The following is a 22521-nucleotide window of genomic DNA, read 5'->3' as shown; positions in this document are numbered from 1 at the left end:
TTGGCCTGTATTCCCCCGGCGATTCCTTCTAAACCAGACGAGAGAAGGCCGTTAGCCTCTCTAATTGGATAGGGGACCACCACCGGCCAATGCAGAAGACCCTTCTCCTCATTGGGCGGAGCTCATGTCGAGGAAGGGGTGCTGAAGCACTGAGGTTCTGGGTTCGGTGATGTGGGGGCGCATCGTGTTACTCCTGATGGCTGGCTCTAGGGAAGGCATCAGGGCCCCTCAGAGTTACCTGGACGCCGCCCACATCCTCATCCCCCCACCTCAACTTTAATGGCTGAGTCTCCAGAGGGCAGGGACCGGACCGAGAGTCCAGCTAGGTTGGGGTGGAACCGAAGGAGACAGATTGCGCGACAAGTCCGGACTCTGAGCTCGCGGTCGCCGCAGGCCCACCCTCTGCGGGGCGGAGCTTTCGCCCCGGTGGCTGCGCCTTTGTCCCCACTAGCGGGCCCCCGCAGCTGCTCCCTTGACAGCATGCGCGTTTGAGGCCTCAGCGAACCCCAATGGGCAGGGCCTGTCCCTTGCTGGAAGTTGAGTAGATTGAGCGGGAAAGCCCGTTGTGAGCTCGTGCCAATCACAGCTCTGTGCTCTCTGCATCCTGCTGCATATCCATGAAAGCGGGAGGGATGGAGCCGCCTAAATTGGGTGGCTGGCAGTGGAGAGGAAGTGACACTGCCTAAAGAACCGTTTTCGTGATCTGCCCCTCCCGAGCAAGCTAGCCTTCCCGAGATGGCCCAAGACGCCTCCTCCTGGGGTCTGGGGTGAAGGCCGTCCTTGGGGACTGGGAGCCTGGCTTGTTTACCTAAGGCTCCGCTGAGGCGCAAGGTGGACAGGGACGTGAGAGAAGTAGGGTGACCGCCTCCCCTAGCTCCGTGCCCCGGGCATAGGGCCCACAGGGCATAGCATCCCTAGATGCGCGTTGCTGGAGGAACCCAGGGCACTGTCAGAGGCTTGGGTGCAGGTGCGCCCAAAAATGCTGCCCTCTCAGAGGCTACAATAGGTTAAAAAAAAAGAGAGAAAAAAAAAAAAGAAATGCCGCTCTCGCAAGGCCTACAGCACATTCCACACCGCCCACAAAGGCCAGTGGGAAGAGAGGGTAAAGGGAAGCTCTTTGCCGAGGTCTCAATGTCTGGACTGACACTTGAGCTACCAGGGAGCCCTAGAGGGAGCCAAACTAGACCTTGGGTCAGGAAGACAGGGAATGTCCAGGGCATCCAAGACGTTCATCTTGTATTGCTTCATTTCTGCCCAGTGTTTTGTACCGGTACCTGTGCTGTTCCTGGGGATTCAGAGATAAAGTCTCCCTTCAGGGGTAGGGGAGAGGGGACCAGCAAATCTATAATTACTGTACAAAGAGATGAGGGTTGTGCCAGGAGCTCAGAGACAGTTCATAAGCCTGCTAGCTGCAGGGCCTTGACAGGGGTTAGTAGGAACCGGAGTGACAGACAAGAAGTGAGCAAGTTTCATTCCAGGCAGAGAACAGATTTCCAAAGACTTGATAACCATAAAGTAACCTGCAGTGGGCAGAAGCCTAAGGTGGGGCCGGATGAGTGGGCAGAATGCTGCAGGCCACTGCAAAGTGTCTGGACTTTATCCTGACGGCAGTAGGGAGCAGTGGAAGGACTTAGAGCAGGGGATTTACATGGTCAGAATTCTGGATGGATCACTAGATTCAACTGGGACAGGGGTGAATGAAGTCAGAGGGAGAAGATAATGTGGTCAAGGAGAGGGAACAACTGGCATTAGACGGGTGGACTATCCTTCCCAATAACCTGTCCTGCCTGCAAATCTCCAACCTTGAGGGCCTGAGTGTGGAACTTGGGGCCCAAATGCCACATCAGCTCTAGAGCCCTCTGCCTCAGGCAGGTTGCTGGCCCACCTATTTGTACCACATGTAACAGGATCCTGATACAGTATAAGGTCCCAGAGGCTTGGCCAGCTCATCTGAAGTCCCTCCAGACATGACTTCACCTAAATCATGGGATCAGCCATAGTCAGACCAGACAGCAGGCAGGAGGGAGACCCTGGGCTGGTCAGCCCCTCCACTGGGAAGGGACCACAGAGAAGCTGTAGATGGCTTGAAAAATTCAACCACTCATCAAATGCTCAGCTATGCATCTGTCTTCCCAGCCACTGAGCACCTGGAGAACACTTAGAACAGATTACATTGTAGGGAGGGTTTCTGATCTCACCAAGGAATGGTGAGGGCTGGGACAGGGATGGGCACCAACTGCAGGAAGAGAGTCACCATGTGTGTAAGAAAGTCAGCAACGGCTGGGAACTCTGCAGCCTGTGAAGGGGCCTGACCACACACATACACCGATATGTACATACTCTTTCAGCCCTTTGCCCCAGCTAGGGCCAGTATGTACCCCCATGAGCTCTTCTTCAGGCAGTTCCAAAGCTCCTGCAGGTCATCTGGACCCACCTTCAGCCCTCTGAGAGCCCTGTGAAACCAGGAGGCCCACAGGACCAGTGCAGTAGGTGGAACCCCAGGGTGGACAAGGGCTATGTGGGTCACTGTACAACCACTCTCTCCTGTATGAATGCCACCCAAGACTGGGAATTAGGGAAAGCCATCATTATCATCAGCTGCCACAGGACTGTTCCCAAGCACCCATTGTTGAAGTTCTTCAGTGCCCTCTGAGCCATGGGATGGTACAGTTTAGCCTGCCCCAGTCCCTTGTTCCCCATTAGGCAAAACAGGAGCCTCTGAGGAAATTCAGAGTTTAGAAAAGTTCTTCCTCTCCATGCCAAACATCCCCCTCATCCCAAGCTCTGGTTTGATTCTTCTGTGCCTGCTCCCCAGACCCATGCCAAGGTAGCCACAGGGGACACAAGGACTGCCCTTGAGCAGCTCCCAATCTGGGAGGAGAGGATAAGACCAGCCAACTACAATCTCAGAAAGTTAGTTGCTGAAGTCAGCACAGGGTGCTGAGAAGACAGGGTCAGCACTTTGTCCTCAAATGCCAGGCTGAGGAGTTTGGACTTGGTCCAGAGAGCAGACTTAAGAGACCCATGGAAGAGTTCTGAGCAGAGTAAACTGGAAGGACCCAAGTATCCAGAACTGAGGGTGGAAGAGATTCTTTGCACACAGCCCAGTCTTCTTGCTGTGGCCTTTGAGAGACCTGCCACCCTCTCCAGCCTTACTCATCCCTTCCTCTCATGCTCATATCAAAACCATTTGTCCCCCAAATGTGATGATCTAAGGGGAAATCCTCAATCAGGCTGGCTGGAATGGATGGATAAGTGTTGTGGCTACTAGCCCAGGGAGAGGTTTGGGAGTCTAAGTGGCCCAGTTTAAGGTGGACATGGTGAGAACAATGGGCAGAGCTTTCAGGCCTGACTGTCCCCCTCCACCCCCCAGTCAGTCCCATCCTTGGGCAGGTCACTTTGAGACCAGGAAAGGCAACACTGAGGTATGCTAAAGTGAGATCATTTGAGGATTAACATATCCAACCAGGATCTCTGCCAGACATCCTCAGTCACAGAATATATAGTAGACCCACCCCACCTTCCTCCCCTGTAAAGGATTCTCTCCCCAGTGCTTCCCAGGGCCCTCAAAGCCCCCACATTACAGCCTCTATCTTAATAGCAGACCTGAATCCCTGCCTCTCCTTCCCCAGAGCCCAGAAATGAACCTGACCCTGCCAGAGGAGGGGCTTCCCCCAGGGAAACCATACTGGTGGGAGAAGTGGCCTGAGATCAAAGCCCAGTTCCACTGGGGAGGTAGGTCTTAGGACTCAGTGACTTGGTGGGGGCGGGCAGCACTGCAGCCTCTGTCTGACCAGTTCCAGTTGGAGTATAAGAAAAGGCAAAGGGGGCATTTTTGTTTTTTGTTGTTGTTTTTTTGAGACAGGGTCTTGCTCTGTTGCCCAGGCTGAAACACAGTAGTGCCATCATGGCTCACTGCAGCTTCAACCTCCTGGGCTCAAGTGATCCACCCACCTCAGCCTCCTGAGTAGCTAGGACTATAGGCACGTGCCACCACACCCGGCTAATTTTTTTTTTTTTTCGAGACAGAGTCTCACTTTGTCGCCCAGGCTGGAGTGCAGTGGCATGATCTTGGCTCACTGCAAGCTCCGCCTCCCGGGTTCATGCCATTCTCCTGCCTCAGTCTCCCAAGTAGCTGGGATTACAGGTGCCCGCCAACAGGCCCAGCTAATTTTTTGTAATTTTAGTAGAGACAGGGTTTCACCATGTTAGCCAGGATGGTCTTGATCTCCTGACCTCGTGATCCGCCCATCTCGGCCTCCCAAAGTGCTGGGATTACAGGCGTAAGGCACCGCACCCGGCCACACCTGGCTAATTTTTATATTTTTTTGTAGACAGGGTTTTGGCACATTGCCCAGCAGGCTGGTCTTGAACTCCCAAGCTCAAGTGATCTACCCACCTCGGCCTCCCAAAGTGCTGGGATTACAGGTGTGAGCCACCATACCCAGCCAAAGGAGGCATTTTGATTGAGATTGTTTTTAGTACGAAAAATCAGAAATAGGCCAGGCGCAGTAGCTCATGCCTGTAATCCCAGCACTTTGGGAGGGTGAGGCGGGAGGACTGCTTGAGGCCAAGCATTCAAGATCAACCTGGCCAACATAGCAAGACTCTATCTCTATGAAAAAAAAAAAGAAGAAAAATCAGAAATAAATTGTGCCTAAAGCTTGGTGGCTGAGACTGGACCAAGCCTCAGTCTTTCTCCTGAGTGGAGCCCTTTCTCGGGGAGCACTGGTCTGGGAAGTCAGTTAGGGCAGCCTGGCATGGAATGACCCCATTAACCATGCAGAGTCCTATCAAAGGGCCAGCCTACTGTCCTCCAGCCAGCCTCACACAGGCAGAGGACAGCGGATCCCCTCTAAGAGGAGGGCCCTCAGGACAGAGAGGACTAGAAGTGAGTTGCCCAAGGTCAAACAGCAATGAGCTCTGGGAGGCAGTGGGTAGTGCGGTATCCTTATCTGCACACAGAAAAGCAAGCGTGGGTGGCAGGGGGGAGGGGGGCGGTGCTGGAACTGAGACAGAGGCCTCACCCACCAAACCCTAGACTCAGAGGCCAGCAGGGCCAGAGGCTGCTGGCTGGCACAGGTGCCTGACCCTGTGTTAAAGTTGCCACAAAACAGTAAAGCTCTGACACAGGGGAGATGTGGGAAATACAGCTTTGACCCAGAGGGGACTCCTCCCCTCCCCACTCCCCAATGGAGCCTGGAAAAAGGGAGGAGAAGCAGCATGTTTACAGCTGAGGAAGCGGGGGCAGGACAGGGCAGGGACCTTTGGTCAGAACGCCCCTCCCAGTAAGCGGGGGAGGCCCCATGAGATGCGGTAGCCGTTTGTTTGCTTCTCACTGCCAGGAGGAAATTAAAGAGAATCTGCCACTTCCTTCCGCCCCAAGTGGGATGAGGAAGGCGGGGGACGGGAGGGACTGTGTGGTGTGATCTGCCAAACATAAGGGCCCCAAATTGCTGTCATCAGCCGCCTCCAGTGCCCCACTGTCCAAAGCAGGCACCTCATCAGGTCTGAGACTCCAGGCAGCTGTCAGGCTTGGAGACTCTGGGGATCAGACCAACACTCCCCACCCCACTGGACTAGTCCCTTACTGCAGCACCAGTTACCCTAGTCTTTCTTCCAGATTCCATATCACCTCTCATCAGGACATACAATTGATGCCCAGTGTGTCAGGTGTACCATCAGTAGAATGGGCTTCTTGGGCCTTCCTAACTTGGCCCAAGTCCAGTGATACCCCATTCCCCACCTCTACCAGACCCACAGAGATGGGCAGGAGATCCACTTTGGAAAGCTCAAGCTCTGCACAGAGGGTGGGAGTAGAATCATGCCAGGACACAAGCCCATTTATGAAGATGCCCAAGGCTGAAGCAGCCAGCCGTGGGTGAGGGTAGGGGGTGTCTTTATTGCACAGTACCAATGTCAGGTTGGGGAGTTACCACCTGAAAAGCTCCTGTTTTCAAAGAGAACTTGACCCTGTCACTCAGATCCACCAAAGGGGCCAGGATCCACCCCTGGGCGGCCCCTGGTCCATGCTCTAGGCTGATGGCCCCTGCCAGGACATCTAACTTCTGCCAGGCAAGACCAGCAAACTGTTCAACGGCATCTGGTTCATGCTGTGGCATCCACAGCCACCTTAGCACCAGGCCCATGGAGGGGTGACTAAGGCAGGAAGAGTAGTCACCAGCCTTCCAGGGGGCTTTCTTCACCACTTCCCAAGGCCACAAAGGGCTTCTTGCACAGATCCCCAGGTTGTGCTAGCTCCTGAGCTCTGGGGCCCCCAGGGTCTTGGTCAGGAGCCTCCCTCTTTCGCTTGTGCAAGGAAGGGCTCTCCTCACCCAGCCGACCCTCAGGGAGGCCCTGGCTCCGCAGACAGACGATGGCTGCAGCCTGCTCCGCCAGTTTCTTGGACTTGTCCCTGAGCAGACAGAGGGCAATAAGGTGAGGGGCAGGGTGCAGGGCTATGAGGCCTGACTCTACACATCCTTGGCAGATTCTGACAAGACTGAGTAAGGGGTCACCATCCAGGGATGCCACTGCCCACATATACCATCTACCCAACCCTCCTAGGACAATGCTGGATGTGTGGGCAGAATGCCCACTCTCCGCCCCACCCCAAGCCTCCTCTCCTATGATAAGGAAACTTACCACAAGGTAGACTGATACTTTTGTTCAGCAACGGTGACAATAGAGGAGAACAGGCGATCTAGAGGGCGTTGAACCTGATACAAAGAGAAAAGGAATCACATGGCCAGAGAAATGAGCCCTGTAGGCCAAACTGCTGGGGTCAAATCAAAGGCAGATAAAAGGAAGTGTTTCCAACCTAAGTCAAATGAAGGCTGCCTGTATCACATGCTCCTCCCAAGCAAAAGTGCCCAGTGGAGAAAGGCACAAATACACAATGACCTCAAGTGTCTGGAGCTGTCACAGACCTAAGCAAAGCGCAGCAGAGCCCTTAGCTGCACATGACTATGGAGCCTCCTGCTGACATCTGGATAGGCCAGGTCCCCAAAATGAGGAGTCACCAGATGCCAAAAGGGTGAGAAGGGACAAGCTAGGAGCAGAGAAGGCACACGTGGCAGAGGGACCAGGTGACTTGGCTGGAGCAAAGGGCTGCAGGGATGAAACTGGAAGGAGCGAGGCACATGGAAGGGTCTCAGGCTCTATGCTGAGGTGCTGGCTTGATCCTTCAGATACTGGGGAGCTGCTGACTTGAGGAGACAGAAGTTAGATTTGTTCTGGAAAAGTCACTGTGGTGGGGGTGGGGGGGAGTGGGGACACAGACACAACCCCCAGAAGGTATAAGCCTTGAGGCCAGAAGACCAGTCCAGATGAGGCAGAGCAGCCTAAGGAAGGCATGGCTGCAAGGACCAAAGGAAGTGAAGCAAGCCTATCTCATGGTTTCCACCCCAGGGGCACCACATCTGGGGCTCAATTCTGTGCCCCATTGGCTGAGGCTTGATCCAAAAACATGTCTGGGCCAAGTGCGGTGGCTCACGCCTGTAATCCTAGCACTTTGGGAGGCCGAGGTCGGGGGATCATCTGAGGTCAGGAGTTCGAGACCAGCCTGGTGAAGATGGTGAAACCCCATCCCTACTGAAAATACAAAAAAGTTAGCCAGGTGTGGTGGTACCCACCTGTAATCCCAGCTACTCAGGAGGCTGACACAGGAGAATCACTTGAACCTGGAGGCGGAGGTTGCAGTGAGCCAAGATCATGCCACTGCACTGCAGCCTAGGCAACAGAGCGAGACTCCGTCTCAAAAAATAAATAAATAATTAAATAATTAAATAAAATTTTTAAAAAAGGCTCATGACCTATAATCCCAGCACTTTGGGAGGCTGAGGAAGGAGGACCACTTGAGCACAGGAGTTTGAGACCAGCCTGCCTGGACAACAAAGCAAGACCCCATTTATTTATTTATTTATTTATTTTGAGACAGGCTGGAGTGCAGTGGCATGATCTCAGCTAACTGCAACCTCTGCCTCCAGGTTTAAGCAGTTCTCTGCCTCAGCCTCCCAAGTAGCTGGGATTACAGGCGCCCACCACCATGTCCAGCTAATTTTTGTATTTTTAGGAAAACGGGGTTTCACCATCTTAGCCAGGCTGGTCTTGAACTCCTGACCTCGTGTTCCACCTGCCTCGGCCTCCCAAAGTTGTGGGATTACAGGCATGAGCCACCGTGCCCGGCTGAGACCACATTTCTAAAAAATAAAAAATAAAAATTAGACTCTGTTTCAAAAAAAAAAAAAAGAGAGATGTCTGGCTGAACTGGACAACAGGCCACTGTAAGAGGGGAGGGCTATCAGCAACTGACCTGGCCACCAGCAGCTTCTCCATGCCTACAGAGGTCAAGGCCAGGCTCCAGCCTGGCAATCTAGAGTTGAGGGTGTAAGCCATGGGAGTGCTGTGACTGGCTGCAGGGCAGGCCACAGCCAGGAACTCACCGTTTCATACACAGGCTGTGCCAACTTCTCCCTCCGGCACCACTCTAGTAGGCACATCTTAGGGGTGATCTGGGCTGGGTATGCTCTCCTGGGGAAAGGAAGGGAAGCAGTTGGGGTCACCCACCATCACCGCTCCCTCCCTCAGCCAGGGCACTACTCAGCTCCTGAAAGGAGCTGCAGAAATGAGAGGAACTGAGACACCGAGCTGCTGCCTTAAGGCTTCTGTACTTGCTCCCCTAGGCTCCCATTCTTGTCCTACCAGCAGCTTGGACCTGGGTTCTCCCTAAAGGGAAGATGAATTTTGGCATGCTCAAGAAATTGTAAGGGAAGGGGGAATGAACTCCCAGTACTCTGAGGTCCAGACTGGAAAAACAATGTTCAACATCCAAGAAGGAAGCTTGCCACTCAAGACAAGATTAGTAGGGAGTGGGTGGAGGTGGGCAATGGAGGTAGCCAGACAATGGTCTCGGGGATCTAGCTCAGCGCCCATCCTGATTCCGCCTGCCAAGTGTCATGATCATCTGCTGCAGCCATGGACACTTGGAATCTGGTTTCAGAGTCAGCCTGTGACAGGGTGACACAGTGACAGGGTGGGAGGGGTCATATTCCAACTTCCCAACTGGAACTCTCCCTGGCATCTGACTGCCCAACAGCTATTCCCCACCACCCTGCTCCCCCTCTCCACACCTCTGCCAGACAAGACTGGCTCCTGTCTGGTCCTGGGGACTGGAGAAAGGCTCAGATCCCAGAGGAGGGCACCATTCAAAGCTGAGTCACAATCTGAGGCGTAAGCAGCTTGAGAGAGCACCACAGAGCTGGTGAGGGGCACTGGGTGTGGGTAGGGGCTGCAGAGCCAAATGAGGGCTAGGGTCCTGCTGTTGTTTGAGGAGCTTCATGCCAGGAGCCAGTTCCTCAGGGCCTTGGAAAAGCACAGACTTTCAGGAACAGGAGACAAGTCCCCCCTGCCCTGAGTTGTGGGAGGCGGTAAATCAGGGAAAAAGTAGAGTTCAGTTATCCTTGGGACAGCCTTTCAGGGACTATCTCCCCTGAAAGCACCTTCTATGGGATGCTGAAAATTTAGAACGAGTTTCCAAACCAACAAGACCTGTGGTCCCTACGTTTGACATTAAGCACATACAGCAGCCAGTGTGCTGGCCCAGTGGGACCCCAAGGGTGCTGGCCCTAGCCCAAGCTGAGGCCAAGCTGGAGACCTACCGGTCAAACTTGACAGCCATCTTAATGACACCAGAGGTATCTTCAGCTGGCTCCCCTGTCTGCTCTGAAGTCTTGGCTGAGAGCCTGGCCTGCTGGGCATCCAGCTCCTGTGTGGTCTCCTCATAGAAGGCACCAAGGCCAAAGGCCTCACTAGGGAGGAAGAAGCAGATCAGAGCAAACACTTTAGCGGAGCCAGCATCCAGGGTACTGCAGGACCCCAGGGCCCCACCACTGAGAAACTCCTCTACCACATACACCAAAACACCACCGGGGCCTGGCCATCAGAATGTGCCCCCTGCCCAGCCCTGGGATTACTGTGGACTGGAAGATGGAAAGTGAATGTGAACCCAAGCGTGGACACTGGAGGGAGGCTGGGCTGGGTGGCAAAGGTTGTAAAGGTCACCCCCACCACCTGCAGCCTCTCTCCTGAGGGGAAGCACACAGATGGTATCCCCAGCCAGCCGTGACTGAGTTAACCAATGCTGATCAAGCACATGGGCCCATGGGAGGAAGAGACAGAGGCCTGACCACTAAGTGGTTCCCCACTTCCCGCCCAGCCACAGGCAGTTATACATGGGTCTCAGCTGACACTGAGGCACCACCCAGAGCTACAGAGTTATGTGGGGTAGGGACTGAACCAATGCCATAAGCCAAGGGTGGGAAGAGGGCTCTGGCAAAGGTTTTTCCCTTCTAGGAAACATCTTGAAGGCTGGAAGACTCAAACGAAGATAGATCCCCAATGGCAAAAGTGGTTCAGAAAGGCATCTATGTAAGAGGGAGGCTACAGATAGCTCACGTGAGAGGGAGAGAGCCTTCCAGGCAGACGACCCATTACAAGCACAGGTGTGGAGTTCTGGAAGCAGACAGGTAGACAGGGAGCTGTGGGGGCAGTGGCTAGGCCAGCTTGTGAAGGGCCTCAACTGTCAACCATCTGAGCTAGAGCTGCACCTGATCTAGAGAATCAACAGGTGGTCTCTCAAACTGCAGGGTGATGGATGTGAGTGCAGGCTCAAGGTAGAGGCTCCATGCTACAGCCCAATTCTCCTGACCACTGGTTCCTGGGGGCCTGGCCTGTGACTATCCCATTTATGGAAAATCCCCTTCCTTTGCATTCCTCTATCCTTCTAGTACCCTAGTTCCCAGAGCTCTGCTGATCCGTCCAGGGATGGGACGTTTCAAAGCTTTCAAAGAATCCCCTCCTGGGAGGCAAAGCTGTACCATCACTCCACTCCTCTACATCTACATCCAGAAGCTGTGTCCCTGGTCCCCTGGTGGAGTCAGCTTAGGGCTCAAAGTCAAACTTGGGCAATGCGTACAAGGACAGATGGACATCTTATTGTGCCTCTTACCAAATTTCCCGGGAAGACTGGGCAGCATGGAGCAACCTTCCCTGGGGCGACTCCAGCTGTTCTCGTAGCATCTGGCACAAGCAGTACTTGGTGTTGGTGTAGTGGTTGTCATACTGCACCGCCTGAGAAAAGAAATGACTTGCCTGATGCCCAGGCAGGCTCTAAGGCCTGGGCTATGCTCTGATGGCAGGGAAAGGAGCTCCAAGAAGGCACCAGAGATGTATGTGTAGCCAAGGCAATGTGACCCCCATAAGAAGAACCACCACTGGCCAGGAGCAGTGGCTCACATCTGTAATCCCAGCACTCTGAGAGGCCAATGCAGGAGGACTGCTTGAGGCTAGGAGTTCAAGAGCAGCCTGGGCAACGTAAGACTCAACTCTACAAAAATTAAAAAAAAGAAAATTATCGGCTGGGCACGGTGGCTCACGCCTGTAATCACAGCACCTTGGGAGGCCAAGGCGGGCGGATCACCTGAGGTCAGGAGTTCAAGACCAGCCTGACCAACATGGTGAAGCCCCGTCTCTACTAAAAATACAAAATTAGCTGGGCGTGGTGGCGGGTGCCTGTAATCCCAGCTACTCGGGAGGCTGAGGCAAGAGAATCGCTTGAACCCTGGAGGCGAAGGTTGCGGTGAGCCAAGATCGTGCCACTGCACTCCAGCCTGGGCGACAACAGCAAAACTCTGTCTCAAAAAAAAAAAAAAAAAGAAAAAGAAAATTAGCCAGGCATGTTGGCACACACCTGTAGCCATAGCTACTAGGGAGGCTAAGGCAAGAGGATTGCTTGCACCCAGGAGTTGTGGCTGTAGTGAGCTATGATCATGCCACTGCACTCCAGCCTGGGCAACAGACTGAGACCCTATCTAAAATTAAAAATAAAAATAAAAATAAATTAAAAAGCCACTTCGACCTTGGTCATCTACTCTTCCAGCTAGTGGTACAAAGCTTGAGGGTCACAGCCAAGGACCACGGTCAGAAACACATTCTCCTGGACAGCCTGACTGAGGTCTCGAAGTGCGGGAGCCCCTTCCTGCTTCAGCCACCACAGAGGACCTACTGCCAAGTATCTTCCAGGGAAGGGAGGGGAAACACACCAAATTCTGGCATGGCAGGTCCAGTGCCAGGAAAGGGGTGAGATTCTTCTATTCCTTCTAACCAGAATGGGCACCTTCCCTTCCCACATCTTGAATAGCCTCTAACTTCCCCCTACGTGGGTAAAACACAGCATCATTTAGTTCACATGGGTTACTCATGACTACATTTATCTATACAAGTGTGAGGTGCAACTGTCACCATCACTCCACAGACCGTGAAATGAAGGCTCAGGGAGGCAAGATGACTGACTGCCTGGGACACCCAGTGGAAGTCGGCTGGCTAGAGGTAGGGCAGGAGAGCAGTATTGGGTGAAGGTGGCCTTCCCCAGCCCTCCAGGACACCCTCCCATCCCCCACCCCCTATGCTGCTCTAGTAACTCCACGTGGGCCTATGACTTCAGTGGCTGGGAAAGTGCCACGGCACGCTCAGGACAAAGTGGGAAGTAAGTCGGGGCGCCCCGGCTGGTGGCAAGTCCTTGACTCAGCTTGTCTGGGAAGAAGGCACCTGGCTGGACCAGAAGCAGCCCTGCCTATGCTTGAAAGCCGCTCCCTTTCTCTGTGATAGCACACCCTCTTGAGGAGCTGCCAAGAGATGGCTCAGCAGGAATGATAATATCACCTTTCACCCAGTGAGCAAGCTCAGCACTGTTCAGCACGTCTTCTTGGCCAGACTTGCCAGCTGGCCAAAAAGCTGGATAGCTGACCTGGGCTGGGGCAAGCCCTCCCTTGCCATGGAGCTATCCCAGACCATTGGAGAGCTGGTGGTCACCAACTTGCCCAGCAGGACACCAGAACCAGGGAGTGAGGGCTGCAGCATTGAACAGGAAATAGGACAAAGGCTGCCCAGCTCTGGACGCAGACCTCAGGGCATCTTACCATCCTAGCTTGCACAGCCATGGAAACACTCACATACCATGGCAGCCACAGGCACTCCTAGGCAGGTATGAACCCTAGGACTGAAGAGGAGGGTGGAACTCTGCTCTGGGCAAAGACTGCACCCTCTGTTCAGACCCAATTCACTGAAGAATTTGAGGACCACTCACTGTCTCTCCCTGCAGACATGTGCAGCTGATCAGAGTCCCACAGAGTTCCAGGGTTGTGCCAAAGAGATAAGGCAAGTGAACTCTTCATTTTCTTTTATAGGGATATGCCCTTGGCACTACCATCAACCTCTCAATGAGAAGAAACTGGTTTAGAAAAGGCCATTCCCAGCCTGGGCAACATAGGGAGACCTCATCTCTATTAAAAAAATAAAAAATTAGCTGAGTGTTGTGGCACATGCCTGTAGTCCCAACTACTTGGGAGGCTGAAGCAGGAGGATCACTTGAGCCCAGGAGGTCAAGACTGCAGTGAGTCATGATTATGCCACTATGCTCACACCTGGGCAACAGAGCAAGACCCCATCTCAAAAAAAAAAAAAAAAAGCTATTCCCTAAGTAGAGGGTTATGCTTAAAGCATTCTGGAATTAGCAAGAGAAAAGTTTTAGAAATTATTTCGACTGATGAGTCAAATCAGGTGAGAAATTTCTCAATTGCTCCTCTTGGCTGTGGCTGCTCCTGAGCCAACCTATAGGCACATATGCCTTTGATGATGCAGAACCCACAGTCCACGTGCATATGCCTCTGTATGTGCAGCGTGTGAGAAAAAGAAAGATATATATCATGTGTTCGGGGTTCCAACAGCATCCTGGATCTAGAAGGTTCTTGCTATGACCTGCAAACCTCTGGAAGCTTTAGGAGATGGTAGGGGTATGCCCCCCAGCATCCTCTCTTAGCATTGCAGCTGGGGAGACCGAATAAAGCAGTGAGCTAGTGCAGCTACACTACATGAGCTAAAAAGAAAAGGAGAGGAACAGCAAGCACAGCTGGCAGCTGGGGGCTCACACAAAGTGCTCTCTGCAGGAGTGTGGTAGACAGTGAGAAATGCTTGTTTTGAAAAAGTACAGAGACGTACGTATCTGATGTATTTCTGCATGACCTCCTCCAGGGGCCGCAGACCCTCCTTGAGGAAGATAGATGGGTTCCACATGGCTGCTCGGGCCACCATCACGGAAGAGGCTGCCGTGGCTTGTCGAAAGTCCTCTATGTCCGAATACTGTTGGATGTGGTCATGAGATCCTCCGCTAAAAAGCAACCAGAGGGTTAGGGGTGTCCCCATCACGGAACCTATCAGCATTTTCAGAAAAAGTCAGCTCTCAGATCTGCCACTGATTAACAATGTGAATTTGGCCAAGTCCCTTCAGCTATCAGAGCTTCAGTAAAGTGGATATTAGAATCCATATCCCATTATGAAGTTAGGAGCACTAACTGAGATAATACATGTAGAGTGCCTGGCACTTAATAGGTAATCCAGGAAATTTACTTTCCTTGCCCCTAATCTAAAACAGTGGCTACAGCCAGCCCACATCTGGAGACATGGGTCCATAACTGGGCTACTGGGGCTACAGGAAAACCCCCAAGCTGAATGGGCCACTTATATGTTCACTGAGGGCTAAGTCAAAACCCTGGCGAGAGGAACAGACACCCTAGTGATGACAAGAGGAAGGAAGGAGGCCCAGTTAGGTCATACTTTCCCCTCCCTGCAGCCTGCTGCTCCAAGGACCCCCTGCTCTGTCTCTGTACATTTCATCAGGAGTCAGTCGGCAGCCTCAGTCCTGAGACAGGCATGCAGAGGGGAGGGTCTCAGGTGGCAGCAGAAGGAACAGGTCTGGGGTCTTGTGGAAAGCCCTGCCCTTTTCAAGCCACCCCTAAAACTTTTCACTCTAGGGAAGGCTGGGCCTGGCTACCACCCAGCCCTTAGCTCTGTGGGACACAGAGTACATGATGAAGACAGGAGGCTTACTTGGCTATGACAGGAATGGAGAGGGTATCAGCAATGGCTTTGATGACTTCACAGCTGACAGGATGCTGAGGTCGCTCCTCCCGCTTCCTTGGAGATAGAAAGATGGGGCTGAGGGCTAAGCACCAAAAGCCACGACACCACTCACACAGGGTTACCTCAGCCAAACCTTACTGTCCTCCCCACTGAACCTCAGGAAGGTCAGGTGGCCATATGGCAATCAAGGACAGGTGGCAGGAAATGGCTCTCCCTGCCCTCTGGAGAACTGTGAGGGGCAGGGGCAGCACAGATCCATGCTGAGACGGCAAGTCCAGCTCTTGGAGGCCTGCAGGGGAGGCCTGGCTGCAGGGGGGCATGGTGGGTGGCCTGGCTCCCAAGGTCATGTTGCTTTTCCCTAGCTTCCTTTTGCCTCTGCCAGAGATGAGGGACAGGGCCATAAGAGTGCTGCCCCTACTGTCCCAGTCCTGCCCTCTCCAAGGGACTGGGAACAGCTGCTGCTGCTCAGACTGGCCACTCCCACACAGCTGCCAATGCCAAAGCCAAGTTGCACAGCTGATCCTAGGGAGAGGCACCTGACACAGGGTAGGCCCCGCACCCAGGAAAGGCACGGACCATGGCTGCCACACCACGGCACAAGGGAGGCAGGACCACAACCTGGGGCCCCTCCTTCCAAAGTCAACTGCAAGTTCTTGTGCATGAGTTTTAGGGCTGCTGACGTGAGGCCTGACCTGAGCTGTGCTCAGCAACAAAGCAAGCAAGACGGTCGACCAGATAGCCCTTGTCCAGCTCTTGTCTGAGTATGTCCCCTCTGCTATACTCTTGTTCTTTTATTTTTGATATGGTGTTTCATTCTTGTTGCCCAGGCTGGAGTGCAATGGTGCAATCTCGGCTCACTGCAACCTCCACCTCCTGGGTTCAGGCAATTCTACCTCAGCCTCCCAGGTAGCTGGGATTACAGGCATGAGCTACCATGCCTAGCTAATTTTGTATTTTTTTTAGTAGAAACAGGGTTTTACCATGTTGGTCAGGCTGGTCTTGAACTCCTGACCTCATGTGATCCACCCGCCTCGGCCTCCTAAAGTGGTGGGATTCTAGGCGTTAGCCACCGCGCCCGGGCCCCTCTACTATACTCTTCAACAAAAGGGTCGAGGGCCCTGTCAACCTAGCCTCTACCTCTGTCTCCCTACATCTCCAATGGTCACTTTTAGCCCATCTCACCAGCTTTGATGGTCACAAAGGGCTTCTTCAAACTCACCCACATCTGTCTTCCGAGTGTTCCCAACTACGGGTAAAAAATAATAGCTTCCTTTATTAAGAGAATACTGGCTTGGCATGGTGGCTCACGCCTGTAATCCCTGCACTTTGGGAAGCCAAGGTGGGTGGATTATTTGAGGTTAGGAGTTTGAGACCAGCCTGGCCAACATGGTGAAACCCCATCTCTACTAAAAATACAAAAAAAAAAAAAAAAAAAGCCAGGCATGGTGGCAGGCACCTGTAATCCCAGCTACTCAGGAGGCTGAGGCAGGAGAATTGCTTGAACCCAGGAGGCGAAGGTTGCAGTGAGCCGAGATCATGCCACTGCACTCCAGCCTGGGCAACAGAGCAAGACTCCGTCTCAAAAAAAAAAAAAAAAAAAAAAGAGAGAGAAAGAATACTACATGCCAGGCACTGTGCCAAGGATTTATATTCACAATCTCATAAAAGCCCTGGGACAACCCTATAAAGTAGAAATTATCTTAATTTCTAAACAAGGAATGTTGTGCTCAGAAAGGTTAAGTGATTTCCCAAGGATATACAGCTAACAAGCAGCAGAGCCGGGATCTCAAACCAGGGAGTCTGAATCCAAAGCCTGCTGCCTTGGGAAGGCGCATATGTGTACAAGTGTGTACTCCTCCCTCCTGGCTTCAACCCAAGCAACTCTGCTTTGCTCTGCTTTGTATGAAGGGAGTTCTGGGTTCCCTTCTCTGAAAATGTTGTAAGAGCACAATCAACAACTTGGGCTCTTCCTATAAGACCCCTAAGCCCAAAGGAACATCACTCAGAGAAGAGAGGTCCCTCTGGCCCAAGTCTACTGACCTGAGATGCTGTACAAAATCACATCCTGGACACAGGGAACAAGTGTGAATGGTAAGCCAAGGGTGGCCTTCAGAACCTCAGCTCTCAGCATAGAGTACATTAGCTACAGCTAGAAGGATTGTTTAGTCATTGTGACAGCTGGCAGTCCAACAAATGCAGACAAGAGAGGCAGAGCCTTTAAAAGAATAGGTTGGGTATGGTGGCTCAAGCCTGTAATCCCAGCACTTTGAGGGGCTGAGGCAGGAGGATCACTTAAGCCCAGGAGTTTGAGACCAGCCTGGGCAACATAAGGAGATCCCGTCACTACAAAAAAATAAAAAATTAGCCAGGTGTGGTGGCATGTGCCTGTAGTTTCAGCTACTCAGGAGGCTGAGGCAGGAGGATTACTTGAGCCCAGGAGTTTGAGGCTGCAGTGAGCTATGATTGTGCCACTTCACTCCAGCCTGGGTAACAGAGCAAGACTGTCTCAAAAAACAACAACAACAATGAAAAACACATAAACAAAGCAGTCTGTCTGGGATTATTCAAGGGAGAAGTCATTGCTCAATATAATAGAAAGAAAATGAGGCTGGGCCTGGTGGCTCATGCCTGTAATCCCAGTACTTTGGGAGGCCAAGGTGGGCAGATCACCTGAGATCAGGAGTTTGAAACCAGCCTGGCCAACGTGGTGAAACCCTGTCTCTACTAAAAATATAAAAATTAGCTGGGCATGGTGGAGCGCACCTGTAATCTCAGCTACTCGGGAGGCTGAGGCAGGAGAATCACTTGAACCCGGGAGATGGAGATTGCAGTGAGCCAAGACTGCGCTACTGCACTCCAGCCTGGGTGACAGAATGACAAAGAGGAGGAGAGGAGAGGAGGGGAGAGGAGAGGGGAGGGGGGAGGGGAGGAGATGGGAAGGGAGAGGGGAGGAGATGGGAGGGGAGAGGGGAGGAGATGGGAGGGGAGAGGGGAGGAGATGGGAGGGGAGGGGGGAGAGGGGAGGAGATGGGAGAGGGAGGGGAGAAGGGAGGGGGAGGGGAGGGGAGGAAGGAAAGAAGGAAGGAAGGAGGGAAGGAAGGAGGGAGGGAGGGAAGGAAGGAAGGGAGGGAGGGAGGGAAGGAAGGAAGGGAGGGAGGGAGGGAGGGAAGGAAATAAATGAGATTTTTCTCATGAGGGTCAGAATTCCACCACGTACTGGCTGCATGGTATGATTTTGAGCAAATTACTCAATCTCTAGCATTTACACATCCTGATAGTAGAGGTGTTTCTCCTTTCTTAGTCTCTCTGTGTCTCTAAACCTCAGTACCTACCCTCAATAGGCACTCCATGAATGAAAGAAAGGCAAATGCAAAAGCCCATTCAGGGTCTGCCTGCCCTCCAGACTCATAAGATATCAAAGAGCTAGGCAGAGGTAGGCTGAATATGTAGAAGAGAAATTGGCTGTCACTTGGGGTGACAGATCAATTAAGGAAGGATCACTAAGATGGGTTAGGACCTCCCTGCCAGTCACTAGAAAGGTGACCACTCACCTCCCATGAACTGCGATGGCAGCAATGCCAGTCCTCTCTATCCGCTTCACAAGGCTCAGGGTATCTTCTAGCTGAGGAGGAGGACCACACAGGATGGTTACTGAAGCTCCAGAAGGAGCAGCTGCTGCCTCCTAAAGTAGGCTCAGCTCTACTCTCTCCTCCAAGCCTAATTTAGCACCTCAAGAATCGTTCACAAACCTAAATCCAACATCACCAGAGAGAATGGACCTTCATATGTAACACACCATCCTTACCGATGGCAGGATGCGAATCTTGCAGGTCACAGGTCTGCGTGTCCCTTTAACAAGAGTGCTGAGGATCTGCAGAAAGGAAAACACAAGAGCACCTATGTCTTCTGGAACAAACCATCACTCTGCCTGTACTAATTAACTCCGCTACAGGCTGTGCATTCCGGTGGCATGAACAGTTTGCATATGTGTGAATGCATGTGTGTGTCTGTTACACACATACACACATAAGCTCCATGAGGCAAGGGACCTGCCTTTGTTCTATACTGGAGCCCCAGCACCTGCCTGGCACCTAGTGGTATACACATATTTGTCAAATATACTGAATGAGTGAGTGAATGGGTACGCGTGTACACCTGTGTGCAGCTCACTGAGCCTTTGCCAGGACAAATACCAGAATTATCTGGAGAACTGAAGAAATACACACTCTTGAATTCCACACTATTATTTCCTGAGTCAGTCTCTAGGGGAAGGGCTTAGGAATGTGTGTTTTCAAAAGGCTCTGCCCAACACACTCCAGCCCGTCCTCAGAATCATTCTGAGGCCTAGCCTTGGTTAAGAACACACGGCTAAAAAAAAAAAAAAAGTAAGAAAAAAAGAACACATAGCTAACTGGGTGTGGTGGTTTATGCCTGTAATCCCAACACTTTGAGAGGCTGAGGTGGGAAGATTGCTTGAAGCCAGGAGTTTGAGACCAGCCTGGGCAACACAGCAAGACCCTGTTTCCTTTTTGTTTGTTTGTTTGTTTGTTTTGTTTTGAGACAGGGTCTGGCTCTGTTTCCCAGGCTAGAGTGCAGTGGCACAATCTTGGCTCACTGTAACCTCTGCCTCCCTAGCTCAAGCCATCCTCCCACTTCAGCCTCCAGAGTAGCTGGGACCACCATGTTGGCCAGGCTGGTCTCGAACTCCTGAGCTCAAGCAATCCACCTGTTTTATCCTCCCAAAGTCCTGGGATGACAGGCTTGAGCCACTGCACCTAGCCCATCCCTGTTTCTATTAAAAAAAAAAAAAGCGGGGGGGCAGACAGCTTCTTTCCTGGGTGAAGGGAATGTTCCCTAAGTGTTGTTCCAGGACTTACAGGGTGAGGGAACAGGAAGGCTCTTAAGGGGGGCCTGCATTCCTCTTTAGGGCAGTCAGACATACATGAGTGAAACTGGCAAAGGAAAAGACAACATACTCATAAGATAAGCACATATTTAAAAGTGCTTATCACATAGCAATTGCAAAAGATTTCAAAGAAAGATCAAGAAGTCACGCAGGAAAGTGACAGGGAGGTAGCAAGACCAGACCACACAAGAATCAGAGATAGAGAGGTGTAGATGACACTGCATGTCTGTGTCATTGCTATCTTCTTCCCTCATCAGAAATTTCAGGCCAGGCAAGCTGGAGGAAAGATGATCCCAAGAACCCTCTTCCAAGAACTGGATCTCTGCCTAGCAGAGCAGGGGGATATCTAGGTGGCTGCTGCCAGTCTTGATTCTAGACAGGCGGGGGCAGCAGAGAGCCAGGTTGCAAAAACCAGTAGTGGAGGCCTATCAGGGACAGGATGAAGCAGGCCATTCCAGAAGACATCAGATCAAGAGGCTGGACTGACAGACAGTTCATGAGCAAGACAGGACCTGCTGGCCCAAATGCCAGGGACTGGCAGGAAGGAACAGTCTCTAGGTGCTGCTCCAGGAGGCAGACTTGGCCTGAGGTCTTAGGGTCACCCTGGCAGGCCTTAAAGAGGCACTTACATTTTAAGGGCGGGACTGACAGGTTCATCAAGAAATACAATAAAAATTCTCATTCTAGTCCCATCCTTCATGCTCAGAGCAACATCTCTAAAAGGTTCCATTACAAGTGCTCACTTAGAATCCTCTGACATTTGGTGATTTAAGCAACACCAGCTGGTCTGATCCAATTCTCTGTCTTGTAGAACTTCCTTTTGCTATTTTATCCAAGTAGCTCTCAGTACTTTCTTCAGTATTTCTGTGTGTTTCATGTGTGTGTTAAGGACTAGGAAGGAAATTAGGTAACCAAAAACCCTAGGCACTTGCAAGGGTCACACTGAGGGGAAATGGCAACTAGAGATTGTCTTCTGGCCAGGCTCTAGCATGACACTCTCCTGGACACCAACTCTCCAGATCCAAGTCTTTGGGGAGAAAGAATGAGAGACAAGTCCATATTTGAGCAGAGGAACAGCACATCTACCTACAAGCAGGCTTGCCTCAATAGACCCACTGGCCAACTGAAGAAAAGCAGTCTCCTTCACTCCCCTGGTTTCTGGGAGGCAGCAGATGAGGATAGGAAAGCATAGGCCTGGAAAGCACTGAGACCTGAGTTCATGTCCTGGCCCTGCCAATTGTCAGCCATGGCCCAAGTACAGTGTACACAAGGGGGATGCCCTGCGCACACCTGTAATCCCAGCACTTTTGGAGGCCAGATCACCTGAGGTTAGGTGTTCAAGGCCAGCCTGAACAACATGGTGAAACCCCGTACCTACTAAAAATACAAAAATTAGCCGGGTGTTGTGGTGCATGCCTGTAATCTCAGCTATTCAGAGGCTGAGGCAGGAGAATCACTTGAACCCAGGAGGTGGATGTTGCAGTGAGCTGAGATCGCACCACTGCACTCCAGCCTGGGCAGCAGAGCAAGACTCCCTCTCAAAATAAATAAATAAATATTTAAAAAAATAAAATAAAACTGAGGTTCTTAATCCAGGGAGCATATATCAGAGTTACCTGGTAGAAGCTTTCTCAAAGAGATTGATATCCCACTCTCCACCCCTACTCACCCCAAGGGTCTGCAGAATTCTCAACAGATAGCATCCTTTATTTCTAACTGGGGTAAAATATATATAACATGAAATTTGCCATCTTAAACATTTTTAAGTGTATAATTCAGTGGCATTAATTACATTCACAATGTTGTACAACCACCAATGTTATGTATTTCCAAAGTTTTTCATAACCCCAAACAAGAATCTTGAGAAAATTTCTAGAGGTGGTCTTGAGATACTCCCACAGATGGAACCACGGGCCTAAAACGCCAAGCCTGGAAGGACCCGCAAAGCTCTCACCCAGGTCACCCAGCTTGCCAACACAGTCTGGACCCGAATTGAATCCAGCCCCTACACCTAAGCCACATCTGGCTTTGTTGTGGAAGCCTGCAACCTCCCTACCATGGGGCAAACCCCATCTATCAGTCCAACCTGGCCCATCTGAGTACCCAACCAGAGAAGTAGTGAAATGAACTAAGCTTCTGAGGTTGAGTGTATCTCTGCTGCCTCATGGATGAAATCTGCCTTATTCAAAGAGGGGCAGTAGAGAGGACAGAGCCAACAGCCTGGGTCTGAGAAGAGAGGAGGCTGGAGGATAACAAAAATGCCTGTGTGCTCATGTTGTGAACCACATCCTCCCTGCTGGGGCCCCCTCTCCTAGGTGTGGAAACCAATTTGACATCCAAGATGTCTACTTCCACTCCACCCTGCACACAAGTGTCTTAACTGGAGATTTCCAAGTTGAGGTGCCTATTGACCTGACACTTATAAACTATACCCAGGCACCTTGAACCTGAGATGCTACTGGAGAGGGTGCTGACACTAGGAGTCAGAAGAGACTATAGTTCACAAGCTGGCTCTGCCTGCCACTTATTTACTATATGATCTTTTTTTTTTTTTTTTTTTTTTGAGACGGAGTCTTGCTCTGTCGCCCAGGCTGGAGTGCAGTGGCACGATCTCTGCTCACTGCAACCTCTGCCTCCCG

General features: G+C 51.9%; 1 protein-coding gene across 3 annotated transcripts in view, besides 2 other annotated features; it reads right to left on the bottom strand.

Annotated features, from left to right (window-relative positions):
* Positions 238-317: an enhancer, noted in NCBI's record as "active region_11005". NCBI's record gives its function as "activates an Ori minimal core promoter by ATAC-STARR-seq in GM12878 lymphoblastoid cells {active_cell/tissue: GM12878}" and the evidence as "EXISTENCE:reporter gene assay evidence [ECO:0000049][PMID:35858748]".
* The window catches only part of DUS2 (dihydrouridine synthase 2), a 56037-nt gene continuing 39359 nt past the window's right edge, over positions 5844-22521 (bottom strand). For all 3 annotated transcript variants that reach the window (NM_017803.5, NM_001271763.2, NM_001271762.2), the window contains 9 exons: positions 18782-18847; positions 18528-18598; positions 14944-15030; positions 14056-14224; positions 11009-11130; positions 9660-9809; positions 8445-8532; positions 6646-6719; positions 5844-6415 (listed from right to left, as the gene is read on the bottom strand). In NM_017803.5, coding sequence (NP_060273.1) covers positions 6178-6415; positions 6646-6719; positions 8445-8532; positions 9660-9809; positions 11009-11130; positions 14056-14224; positions 14944-15030; positions 18528-18598; positions 18782-18847 — 1065 coding nt within the window. In that variant the 3' untranslated portion in view covers positions 5844-6177. The remainder of the gene's footprint in view (positions 6416-6645; positions 6720-8444; positions 8533-9659; positions 9810-11008; positions 11131-14055; positions 14225-14943; positions 15031-18527; positions 18599-18781; positions 18848-22521) is intronic.
* Positions 9733-9842: an enhancer, noted in NCBI's record as "active region_11004". NCBI's record gives its function as "activates an Ori minimal core promoter by ATAC-STARR-seq in GM12878 lymphoblastoid cells {active_cell/tissue: GM12878}" and the evidence as "EXISTENCE:reporter gene assay evidence [ECO:0000049][PMID:35858748]".

Source organism: Homo sapiens, chromosome 16, assembly GCF_000001405.40.
Source record: "Homo sapiens chromosome 16, GRCh38.p14 Primary Assembly".
Lineage (NCBI taxonomy): Eukaryota > Metazoa > Chordata > Mammalia > Primates > Hominidae > Homo > Homo sapiens.
This window is presented reverse-complemented; position numbering and strand designations above follow the sequence as displayed.